This window comes from Homo sapiens, chromosome 11 (assembly GCF_000001405.40).
Source record: "Homo sapiens chromosome 11, GRCh38.p14 Primary Assembly".
NCBI lineage: Eukaryota > Metazoa > Chordata > Mammalia > Primates > Hominidae > Homo > Homo sapiens.
Genome location: NC_000011.10, coordinates 128,880,667 through 128,893,461, shown reverse-complemented (window position 1 = coordinate 128,893,461; position 12,795 = coordinate 128,880,667). Strand labels below are relative to the sequence as shown.

Below are 12,795 nucleotides of genomic sequence, written 5' to 3'. Positions count from 1 at the left end.
TTCTTTTTCTTTTTTATTTCTTTTTTTTTTGAGATGGGGTCTTGCTATGTTGCCCCAGTTGGTCTTGAACTCCTGGGCTCAAGTAATCCCCTTACCTCAGCCTCCTGAGCCAGCAATTTCTCTATGTGTTGTTTCCTGTCTTTCAATGGTGGCCCTGCTGCTGCTCTTCCAAGAAGCACATACGCTGTGCCCCAGGCCTCCCACTGAAGGCCTTATGCCTCTAGGCAGAATGGTGCCATCTCAGGTGGGGTCCATAGATAGTTTAAAATACCAGCCAAGCTGACCAAACTCTTTATGCCAGAGTCCAACCATGGGCCTCTAACTCCCACATCATTTGCTCTGCCCTGTTCGTTCCTCAGATTCCAGGAAGCCTGAGCGCCTCATTCAGCCAGATGATGCAATTTACACCTGGCTTTGAGGAAAAGCAGGGATGTGGAAAGACAAGAGCAGCTTTCAGAATTAGCTTTTGTTAGTGGAAAGACCCTGGATTTAAAGCCAGAGGACAAGAGTTTTGGAGATAGCAGTGCTGCTGCCACTTAGTGCCTGGAATTCTGTTACCCTTACTCTCATCTATAAAACAGAAGAAATAAGCTCTGCCCCACAGGACTGGTGTCAAGATGAACTCATGTAAACGTATATAGCTCGGCACCTTGGTTTCATAAATATTAGCCTTTTCCTCACATGGAAAAGTGCTTTGAGAACCAGAAAGCCCGATAAACCATATGGCTTTTGATGAAAACGAGGCACATTTTGGAGTCAGATATAGGAGAGAATCTCCCTTTATGAGCTGTGCACCTGAGGCAAATTGCACAGCCTCTCTGGGCTTCAATTTTTCACCTGTAGAATGAGGATGATAATCTCAGCTTATTAAAAGGATTGAAACAGAGTAAAATACTTGGCGTGTTCCTGTTGATCTTCTTCTGGTGTTTGAAAAGGCTCCTGGAACAGGTTTTGGGCTGGTGTTGCTCACCCTGATGTTCAGGGTAGGCCCTAGAACTTTGGGGGCCGGACCTGAGGCCCTCCACAGCCCCTGGGGTTGGAGAGCCCTGTTTGAGGGAAGGCACAGATAAAACCAGGGGGCCAACAGCTCTGCAGGGAGAAGCACTGACTTGAAGAGAAGGGGAGCAATGACAAGGCCGGCCTTCTCTGTTCCCTATCCTCTGTCCTCACAGGCTTGACCCCTGGCCTTTCTGAACCATTTGAAAGCTCTTTAAAAGGAGATAGGGAGGTACGCAGGAAGTGACTTGGGCAGCGAGGGGGGCAGAAATCACAAGGCCGTGTTTCCAGTTTGGCCACACTTAAAAGAGAAAGCAAGATTAGGCTGGGGATCTAAGGCTGAGGGGGGCACCGCCCCCCATCCTGGCCCTCCCTGCTCCCATTTGAAGGAAGAGTCCTACCAGGTGAAAAATGTCCTCCACACCCCACCCACTCCTGGCCACTGTTGCCTCTCAAACCACTGCTGGGAGATCTGGGGCACCCCCAGGTAGCCCTGGTCTAGTGCCAGAAGTGAAGGTGTTTATGGCTGGGCTCCCAACGCACAGGGCAGCCTGCAGCCACGGAGATCTCCAATTTCCTAAACTTGGACCTGCCCTAAGCTTTTCCTTATCCCCCCTGGCTCCCAGTCTAGCAGGTTCCCTGTGAAAGCCTGCTGCCCAGGTGATGGACACCTGAGGGTGTCATCCTGCCCTCCAGAACCCGCGAGCTGGGGGAGAAATGGAGGAGGAAAAGAAGACAACTTACTTGTTGAGATCGGAGCTTCCGAGTCCCACTGATGCTAACTTCTGGGGTGTCCCTTAGCGGCGGTGCAGGGGGGCTCAGGGCTTTTGAGGGGACTCCCCAGCCCCTGCCATGACCCCACGGAGGAGCTGTAGCTGGAACCTCTCCCTGTTGTGGGGTCCTGTGGGCAGAGGTACCTAAGCCATCCTGTCCCTTCACTCGCGGCCCCTTGGGTCACTCCCTTTCTCTAGCGAGAGCAGCTGGAACAATCTCTCTCTCTCTCTCTCTCTCTCTCTCTCTCTCTGTGTGTGTGTGTGTGTGTGTGTGTGTGTGTGTGTGTGTGTGTGTCCCCTCCTCCCTCTCCTCTCTCCCTCCGTCCCTGGTACAAATGAATCTCTGGGTAGTAACGCGACTGGAAGGGCCACCGGCGTTGGCGGCGGGGGGCGGGCTGGGGTGGGGCGGGGGCTCCATGTGATCCGGGACGCCGTCAGCTCGGCAGGACTGGGAGGGAAGAGGAAGGCGGAGAGAGAGCCCGGCAGGCATCCAGCCCTCCGCTCGCGTCCCCGCGGCCCCCTGCGCCCTCCCCCGGCTCCCCCTGCCCCCGGCTGCACCCCTGCTGCGGGGTGCCAGGGACGGAGACCCGCGCGCGCGCGTGTGAGCGTCCCATGCCTGTGTGTGAGCGCCGCGTGTCACGCGTGTCCGTGTGTGAGCGCCGCGTATTTAGTGGGTGCGGTGGAGCAGACAGAAAGAAGGGAGAAACTATTAGGGCAGAAATCTTGGCTCGGAGCCTCGGCGGGGCTGCTCAGTCGCTCCGCGGTGCGCTAAGCGGACGGTTGGCAGCATTTCGCCGTTTCCCGAGAGGGATGGAGCAGATGGGGGGATTCCTTTGGGAAGGCGGGGGAGCCACAGTCTGGGCGCTGCATCCCCCGCCCGACGGCTCTGATTCCCGCCGTGGAGTGAGGGTCCGGGGGCCTGATCCGCCAGCTGCAGGGGGAGTAGGTCCAGGGACAGGACCCAGGCTAGCTGTCCCCGGGCTCGCTGCTCACCCCGGACGATCTCTCCCCGGCGTGCGGCGGCGGCTGGGCGGCGATGGCTGGAAACGCGCCCTGCACGGACAGGAGGCGGGAGCAGCCCGGAGGGAACGGAGCTCAACCTTGCCCAGGCGTGGGCAGAGCCGGCGTCCTCCGCGCCACCTCCCGGCTCTCCCTTTTGGATTCCTACCTGCCTTGAGGACAGATGATGACCAGAGTGTGTTCTTTAATTCGTGGAAGCCGTAGGAAAGGCAGCTGCCAGGGCAGGCTGAAAGGGAGGGCTGCTGTCTGGGGAGGGCCGGCAGGTGCCTCTGAGGACCGGTCTGTTCGGGGTGGCCCTTCTCACCCGGTGGTGTTCCTTCTGGCCCCTCTCCGTTACCCAGCCTTTTGGGGTCAACACCCCCCCTGCCAGCCCCCTCTCTCAGGGCAGACACAGCTGGTCAAACGTGGGGTGCCCTAGCACCTAGCACAAGTGCTAGGTGAATGATGTCTACGACCAGAAAACTGGTTTATTACGTTGCAATGAGAAAAATGCTTGTCACTAATACTGGAGGGCACCAAGTCCATCCTCTCCTGTAAGGACAGTGACAGGGAAACTTAGTCTCTAACAGTGGCCTGGGGGTCCTCTTGCCTCGGAGACCAGCGTACACACAGCCCGTTGCCCAGGCACCCTCCCCTGGGACAGAGCACAGAGCGGTCCGGCCAGAGTGGGCCTCCTGATTGCCCCTCTTCTCTCTGTAGAGGGGGTGATTGTTAAATGTGGCTGCAACAGGCCCTAACAGGAAAGCTCTGTGTCCCCTTAGGGGACTCAGCTTGCCTAGGTGCTCACGCACTGCACCATATGTTGTTTGACCTCAGGGCTTAACACTATTGTGGAGAAAGTTCTTAATTCCCTAATTGCCTAGTTCTTGGGAGAGGCTTTGGCTGTGCAGTTCTCAGGTCCAGATAACACACACTATAATCATCTGCTGAGCCCTGAGGAGGGGCTCTGTCCTGGGGCAGCAGTTGCTTTTGGATTAGGTATAAAGACCATGATATTCCTTTTGCCATTACGGGGTGGGGGTCAGGGGACCTGGACTGACTTTAAAGCAAAATATAGGGTGCTCTGGGAAATACTGTTTTGCAAAGATTTTCTCAGTGATGGGACCTTGGATCGGGAGACAGAAAAATTTGTGTCCAGGTCTCACCTGAGAACTGAAAAACGCGAAATTTGGGGATTCTAGTCCTGAGCAATTGTTGCAACTTGGAGGAGCTTTGAGAGGCCCAAGCCTCTCAAAGAGCACAGACAACATCTGAGGATAGCAATGCAATAAAAGAACTACTCAGGGAGCGGTACAAGGTGCTAAGTATGTCTTTCATTGTCTGAAAATTGCTGAGGCGGTGCTTGAAAGCAACAGAAAATGTGTATGTATTATCACTGTTAATTAGAGTACAGCCTCACTTCTTCTGTTCTCTTTATCTGCTTCTCTTACCTTCTTTCATCGAGCGGGAGATGGGTTCACAATTAAAGATGTTCTCTTTAGAATATAAGACTTGCAGAAAATTATTTTTTTCTCCTATTTATAGAAGTTATATTTGCATTAGGAGCCTGGTAATGTCTCATAAATATTTCCTTTTAGATAAAATATTAATTAAAGGAGTTTGTTGAGTTATACTCTGAAATCCTAACTAAATAGCTTCTAAAACAAATATTTTAAGCATTTTTTCTCATGTCAGGAGAATTCTTCATACGTCCATAAACAGCAGATATCTATCGAGTAAGGACATATTATTTTGCAATATTTAACATAATACTGTAGCTGCTACCCAGTTTAAAAAAACAAAACCAGGCATTGCCAACACTGCCAAATCCATGTGAGATTACCTCCTCTTCCCTCAGGAGAGAACCAGCCACCTGAGTTTGGTGTTTCTCTTTCCCATGGCTTTTAAAATGCTAAACAGACACACACACAAACACACACACACACCCCTACACCTACACCTACTCAGTTAGCGAATGTTGACTGTATGTATTTTTATGTCCACACACTCTCTTGGTTGATAAAGGCCTACTATGTTTGAGACACTTTGATAGGTGCTATGAGAGAGACCAAAAGGTATAATGGTGGGCTTTGATCTCAAATGTCTCACATCTAACAGGGAAGGTGGCATGTCTGCGGGTGGGGGGAAGTCAGCAGACAAATTAACAGCATAGGATTTTAATTCCTAGGTGTTAATTGGGAGCTGGTGTGGAATTGACAGGAATGCTAACACAGCTCGGAGAAGAGGAGCTGGGACTGACTTCTGACGGCAAGGCTACGCAGAGAAGGAAGGTCTGAAGGACTTAGGGAAGGAAGACTAAGGTTTGAATGTGATGAGAGGGAGAGGAGTCAAGGAGCCGGGCTGGAAATCAAGGCTTGGGCAGGCAAGGCTCAGGGTGCTCAGGGACCACAAGAAAGGGAAGGGTTGCTGCTGGGGGATCTGGGCGGTAAAGTGGTGATGCCAGTGGCTGTAATTAACGCAGTGCCTACTATGTGCTGAGCTCTGCTCGATGCTTCACGTAAGTAATTGCTTGTAATTTTCTCGACAGCCTCGGGAGGGAGGTAGCTTTAGCACCTTTCTCCGGAGAGAAAACAGGCTCAGACAAGTCAAGTCCCCTCACACTGGCAGGAATTTCAGACCTGCTAGCAGAACCCAGTTTTGTTAGTTTCCAAGATCATATTTCTAATTGTTATGAGATGAACGGTGTCTCTCCCAAATTCAGATGTTGAAGCCCTGATTCCCAGTGCTTCCGAATGTGACTGTATTTGGACATGGGGCCTTTAAAGGGGTGATTAAATTAAACTAAGGGGCCGGGTGTGGTGGCTCATGCCCATAATCTCATACTTTGGGAGGCCGAGGTGGGTGGATCACCTGAGGTCAGGAGTTTCAGATCAGACTGGCCAACGTGGGGAAACTCTGTCTCTACTAAAAATACAAAATTAGCTGGGCATGTCTGTAGACCCAGCTACTCGGGAGTCTGAGGAAGGAGAATCCCTTGAACCTGGGAGGCGGAGGTTGCAGTGAGCCAAGATCGTGCCACTGCACTCCAGCCTGTGCAACAGAGTGAGTCCATCTCAAAAAAAAAAAAAAAAGAATTAATTAAACTAAGACCATTAGGGTGAGTCCTAATCCAATCTGACTGGTATCCTCATAAGAAGAGGAACTACTTTGAGGACACTAGGAGAAGGCAGCTGTCTCCCAGCCGAGCAGAGGCCTCAGGAGAAACCAACTTTGTTGACAACCTTGATCTTGGACTCCTAACTTCCAGGGCTGTGGGAAATCAATTTCTACTTGAGCCACCCCGTCAGTGATGTTTTGTTATGGCAGCCCTAACAAACGAAGACATTAACCACGCATCTCTGCCTCTCAGAAGAGCCTCATATCCCAGGCTGTGGCATCTGGATTTTCTTCTGCAGATTGAAAGCAAGTATTAAGAATTTCTGAGTTGGGGAGAATTATGAAAATCATTGTGAAGATTTCCCTGGGGGTTGTCTGTGTATGATTCATTCATTTATTCATTTCAGTGAAGACTTATGGAGCACGTGCTTTGTGACCTCTGCAATGACAGGGACCCTGTTTGTCTTGTTCACCTCTGGGTGCCCCTTAGCAGTGCTAAGCACAGCATCTGCTACATAGGAGATGATCAATAAATATTTGTCAAATGAAAGAAAGGATATGGGGTAGGTTCTGCACTTAGAGAAAAATGACAAGACAAATACAGAACTTGCCTTCAAGGAGCTGAGAGTGTGGTGAGGCTGGTAGTCAGTTTGTGGTTAGTTTAGGTGGAGCTGAGATTATTGTGCAGTGCCACCCAACAGAACTTTTGCAATGAAGAAAATGCCTGATATCTTGTCTGTATAATGTGGCATTGTGGCTACTGCCTAGGTGTAATGTGGCTACTGTGAATAGGAAAGGGAATTTTAAATTTTAATTAATTTGCATTTAAGTAGGCACTATGGCTGGCAGCTACTGTATTGCACAGTCTAGGATTGGAGGCAGGGAGAGCGTTCGTGGGCTGGGCCCTAGTGCTGGCCTGAGGTGATAAGGCTGCAACAAGGCAAAGGAAGAAAGAGCCTTGGGACGGGTAGTGGGTTGCACAGTCTGGCGGCAACAGTGCCACCCCCTGGGATCATGTATGAAATGCGGAATCTCAGGCTCCACCCTCCACCTGCTCAAAGAGAATTTGCCTTTTAACAAGCTCTCCAGGTGACTATGCACACTGGGGCTTGGAAGAGCATGATGTAGAAGATGTGGCTGAGAAAGGGTCAACAGGAGCCCAAAGGAGAAGAGGAATGAAACTGGATGGCTTGGAGCTGAGCTGGGCTAAGCTCCCCTGAATCTCCAGAGGCACTGAGATCCCCTCCTCTGTGGACACCTTGACCCCTCCGCTTCCCTCTGATAGAGCGCCGATCACATGTGTTGGGGGTTCTGTGACCTGTCTCTCTCCTCTACCTGCAATCTACAAGTTCCTTAAGGGTGTAAACCTTGTTTTTTAAAACCCAAGTAAATGTTTATTGAATGCGTGCATGCCTGATGTCAGGAATGAGAAAATTAGCAGGAGTAGGTGACTGGGACGGGAGAGCTGCTGAGTTTGATTCTAGACATGCTGCATGCATGTCTAACTGAAGGTTGGTGAGAACTCCACTAATTGCAACTCCACTAATTGCAACTCCACAAAAAGTGGCAACTCCACTAATTGCCTAAGTGGAGTTGTCTGAGAAGAGGCAGGAATGGATGTCTGGTGATGACGGGGGAGTTGAGGATGGGGTGGAGATTTTGGAATGTCATCCGCAGAGAGGAGAAGACTGAAACTCTGAGAAATAATTTAGGTATCTGGAGGAGGGTGGAGAGAGAAGGAGAAGAGGCAAGAGCTGGGAACTATGCTCAGATCTGGGACAGAGGGAGAAGGATACAGAACAGGAGATAGAGGAGTGATCAGGATGGCTGGAGGTCAGCAAGGCTGGGGTGGCAGAATGACCTGGAAAGGAAGAGTGGCAAGAAAATTGAGTGGCCAGTGTGCCGGCGTCCCTCGTTAATAGAATATTTCTTTCATAGTATTTATCCCATGAAACCTGTGTGCAACACAGCAGAGGTCCAAAGTAGGTAAGTACAGATCCAGAAAAGTCATGGAAAATAGGGCCAATGGGAAAAAAAACCCCTAATCATTGACCAGGCCATCAAGCTGTCATTAGTGACTTTGCAGGATGTGTTAAAGAGGCCTCCTATTCATCTCACAACTCAAAACAGACATGCTCTCTGGGAAAGTGGCCTGATATTCATGTTGATGCCTTGACTTCTCCCAGTGCATAAGCTTCCCACTTGTCATTGGATGATCCCAAATTCACTGTTCCTTTAATGCCATTGAATTCTGACCATAGGGAGCACCAATGGTAGCTTCAGCTTCCCTGAAACAAGCTTCCCGTTCCTGAATTTCCTCTCACTCTTGAGTCCAGGCCCAGGTGCCTGAGAGAGGCATTTGCCACAGCTGGCCATACAGTTGACTTTATCGAGTCAACATCTGTTTCTAGAGGGCACAGCACTTAGCCCCAGGACTCAGCTTGGTGCCCAGCGCTGAGCTTCCAGTTATTGCACCGCTAGGGGCAAATGATGTTTTTCTTCCTATCCAGTGAAGTGGGCTCCTATTTGGCAAGGAAAGAAAATGAACAACTTTAATTCCTTCCTAACTTTTTTCATAACAACTCTCTTAATTCTGTTTTGTGGAAAACTCCATAGACATGCTGACCAGCAAGCACCTGCCCTGCCCCGGTGTGGTTTCCACAAGGGGGGCAACAGCACCATCTAGTGTTTGAAAGAGATTTCACACTAGGTAGAACACATGTATTTACTTACCTTGATCTTTAGTTTTTGTTTTATTAAGGTAATATATTGGCCGGGCACGGTGGCTCACTCCTGTAATCCCAGCACTTTGGGAGGTCGAGGCGGGCGGATCACGAGGTCAAGAGATCGAGACCATCCTGGCCAACCAACCCCGTCTCTACTAAAAATACACAAAATAGCTGGGCGTAGTGGCACATGCCTGTAGTCCCAGCTACTCGGGAGGCTGAGGCAGGAGAATCGCTTGAACCCGGGAGGTGGAGGTTGCAGTGAGCCGAGATCGTGCCACTGCACTCCAGCCTGGGTGACAGAGCGAGACTCCGTGTCAAAAAAAAAAAAGTGATATATGAAAGTAATATATTTGAAGCATCACATTTTTCTAAATAATTTGAAACAAAAGCAGTTGGGTTTCCTCTTTGACCATCTTCCAATCTGCAGAGGTCATCACTTTCATTTCTTTTGGCTATTTTTTCCCTTTGGTTTTTGTCTGTAAATGACACCCTTCTAGTAATACTTATAGATGCTTCCATCTTCAGAGACGACCTATGAACTTTCTACCACTGAAGATGGAAACGTGGCTCCCTTTCCTCCCCTGAACCCACCACGTGCTCACATACTTCCCATTTCTCGTCCAGCAAGGGAGCTGTGTCACAATTTTGGTTGGATGAATACTCAGTTTTAATATTTTTATGTCTATAAAGTTCTGTTTGTATGTAGCTGATCCATGCAGCAAACCAGATTGCTTTGTCTTTCCTGCACAACTCTTTTTCTTCTCTGGAGGGACTAATTAATTGTCTTGGTTTGGTTTGTGTAGTTGTGTTTGCTCTCATCGCCAATTTCTTTTTTCTTTTTTGGGGGGATGGAGTCTCGCTCTGTCACCCAGGCTGGAGTGCGATGGTGCGATCTTGGCTCACTGCAACCTCTGCCTCTTGGATTCAAGCAATTCTCCTGTCTCAGCTTCCTGAATAGCTGAGATTACAGGTGTGCGTTACGCGCCACCATGCCTGGTTAATTTTTGTATTTTGGATAGAGACAGGGTTTCCTCATGTTGGCCAGGCTGGTCTCAAACTCCTGACCTCAAGTGATTTGCCTTCTTCAGCTTCCCAAAGTGCTGAGATTACAGGCATGAGCCACCATGCCTGGCCTCATCACCAATTTCAATGCAAAAATTTCCACCTACCATTTCAATCTCCTCTCAAGATGTCCAGATGCACCAGAAGTCCTACTGATTCCATCTGGAGAAATCTCCCTGGTGCCTTCTGCTCCCTTTGGTCTGGCCTGGTTGCCCTCTCTGCCTAGCGCACAGCTGGCTTCCTGGCATCTCTGTTTGCTTTGCCTCACTCCCATATTGCATCCCCTGTTTCCTGAATCCCATGCGTGTTTCTTTCTTGGTTCACTCTCTTACTTTTTAGGAAGAACACGTCCTACCATTGCTTCCTAGGAAAGAGAGTGGGCAAGGTACAATTTTGAGATTCTGCATATCTGAGAATATCTCTATTCTATTCAATTGACAACTTGGGCAGGTGTAGAATTCTAAATGGGAAATTATTTTTCTTCGGTATGTTAGAGGGATTTCTTCTTCTTCCACATTTCAATTATATTGTTAGAAGCCCGAAGCAAGTTTCATTCCTGATCCTTTTGCGGGTCCTCTTTTTCCTTTCTGGAAACTAGCCAGATCTTCTCTTAGTGAGTAGTGGTGTGAAATTTCACAACGATGTGCCTTGGTGTGGGACTGTTTTCATCCACTGTACGGAACACTGGGTAGCCCTTTTAATCATCGCCTTTCCTTCTGGGTGAGTTTCTTGCGATGCCTCTTTGAGGATTTCCTCCTTCCTATTTTCTCTGTTTTCTCCTGGAATTCCTCTCACTTAGGTGTCAGATCTCAGAAGCCTCTCATTTCCTCATCTTTTTTCTCTACTTTCGTCTCTTTGTATTTTTGCAGTATGTTCTAGTAGATCTCCTCAACTTTTTTCTTTCAACCCTTCCATTGAGATTTTTATTTTTCTATCATATTTTAATTTCCGAGGGCTCCCCTTTTTTCTATTCCCTGAAGGATTTTTGGAGCATCCTCTTTATTTGAAGCGTTCTTCTCCCTGTACAGACCCTGTTTCCTCCAAGATGCCTTTTCATGCTTGTGTTTTTGCTCTGTCTTTCCTCAGATGCCTGGTAACCGGGCAAGAGGAGGCTCTGGGCCTGTGAACTTGACATCTGTCGGGTTCCCTGTAGGGTGTTCTGGCAGGCCATTTTGTTACAGGAACACTTGGTATCAGATTTTGCTTGCGGGAAAGTCAGATTCCTCAGGAAGAGCTCTTTCAATCTCCTGCTTGGAGGACTGAGTCCTGACCACCAGCCTTCTGAAACCAAGTTGAAGGAGAGAGCTGGGAGTCTTGACATCTAGTATGGATATGTTTACTTAGTCATCCTTTGAGGGGGTCTGATAAGCCCATCCTTAATGGTTCTGTGTGTTTTTCAGTCAAGAGACCCTTTGTTTTCCACTTTTGAGAGAACAAATCTCCAGGCTTCTGCCAGGAAGGGCTGGGAGAAGTCTCTTTTTTGGGCAGAGTCCGGGAGGGGAACAGGAGGTCTAACTAGGGTGCTTCCTGAATGGACTCTCAACCCATCTCCCCCTTCTTTTGGCTGCTTCCTTCACCCCCCACTTCCAGGGGTAGATAGGGTCATAGACATCTAAACCTTTTGGGAGTCTGAAGTGTCAATTGCACTGGTTCTTGGTTTGTTTTTTTTCTTGCACAAGTGTAGAATGCATCTGCTTTCTGGGTTTCAAGAAAGTTGCTATTGTTTCCTCTCCAGTTCTTGTCACCCTTCAGGGTTTATGCTTTTTTAAAAAAGCTGTTGTTTTATTGGGATTTTGGATGGGAGCAAAAGTAGAAGCATTTCTTTAACTTGCCATCTTTATGCTGAAGTCATTCATTCATTTTTAATCACCCATTCTGTAAACATTCTTGACCTTCTCCTATGCAGTAAGCTCTCCGGTAGATTCTGATGTGCACTGATGAAAAAGGCTGTGTTTACTGCCCCCATAGGCATATGTATTTTATGTGGTATCAGATAAATAAATAGCTATACAAGCTTAAATCTCAAGGGGACACTGCTAATGGTGATGGTTGGGTGTCTCCATGAGGGTCATCTGTCTTCCAAGAGACCCCGGAAGGTGATGTAGCTTAGACCATTTGCCGAGGTGCTCTTACAAGTTTAGACACCTAATTTCAAGCACAGCCATCTCCCGAGAACGCCCATCTCCACCGACTGAAGTTCAGCCTCCTGATATCTAGATGAAAATGTGAATTCGTTAATTAGCTGTGTGACTGTGCTGGGAGCCAAAATACACAAGATGGCACGATCAGCACATCTCTCCCTACAGGGGGGCTGGACAGGAAGCCAAATCTTGATTGAAGCATGGCTGGGTGAGTCTGGAATCCAACAAGGGCGTGAATTGTAGATGCCTTATGGCCATTTTTCGTGGCTCCTGAACAAGAAGTAAGGGCATGTTCACTGGACTGGACTGTGGGAGCCTGCTGAATGAGGCTTACCCTTCCTGGAAAGTGCCTGATTCATAGCCCTGCTGAGGCCTTTTTTTCCTTCGGGTACATCAGGTCACATTGGGGGAAGACACAAAGGAATTGGACTTTTTCTAGATGGGGTCAGACTCCCCCACCTGCCTCCAGCTGATCAAGCTGTCCCCCTGACACTCTGGCAAAGACAGATCTTACTGGGTCAGGGGACACTGTCCCTCACTAGATGCAGGCTCCAAGTGGGTCACCCCACATCTGTCTGTTGGTGGACACACCTGCTGGGGGAATTGAAGAATTGCATGAGGGGCCTGAGGAGCTCTAGAGGGTCACAGAAAAAGACCACCCTGCCTCACTTCACAGTAGCATCAGGGAACATGTATTGGACAGTTGTTCCCAGAGAATCCCTTTCCCCAGAGAACCTGGCAGTCCTTAGCCCCTGTGCCCTTTTGAAAAAAAGAAGCCAAGCCCCAGAGCTGTGGGGGTGGGGAGTAGCCAGGATGGGATCTTCCTCCTCTGTTAGGATTTGCAGGGCATGGCTTCTGCTTACTGAGCCAGGAAGGACAAGGCAGGACTGGGGTGTGGGTGGCACAGGTGGGCATGGGGAATAGGAATTGGGCATGAAAGTGCCCCATGTCACTTCTGCTCCAAGGCACCAGGGCAGG

General features: G+C 49.1%; 1 protein-coding gene across 2 annotated transcripts in view; it reads right to left on the bottom strand.

Moving 5' to 3' along the window:
• KCNJ5 (potassium inwardly rectifying channel subfamily J member 5) overlaps positions 1 to 2,106 on the bottom strand; it is a 29,808-nt gene extending 27,702 nt beyond the window's left edge. For both annotated transcript variants that reach the window (NM_001354169.2, NM_000890.5), the window contains exon 1: positions 1,741 to 2,106. The gene's annotated coding sequence lies outside the window, so the exon portion shown is untranslated. The remainder of the gene's footprint in view (positions 1 to 1,740) is intronic.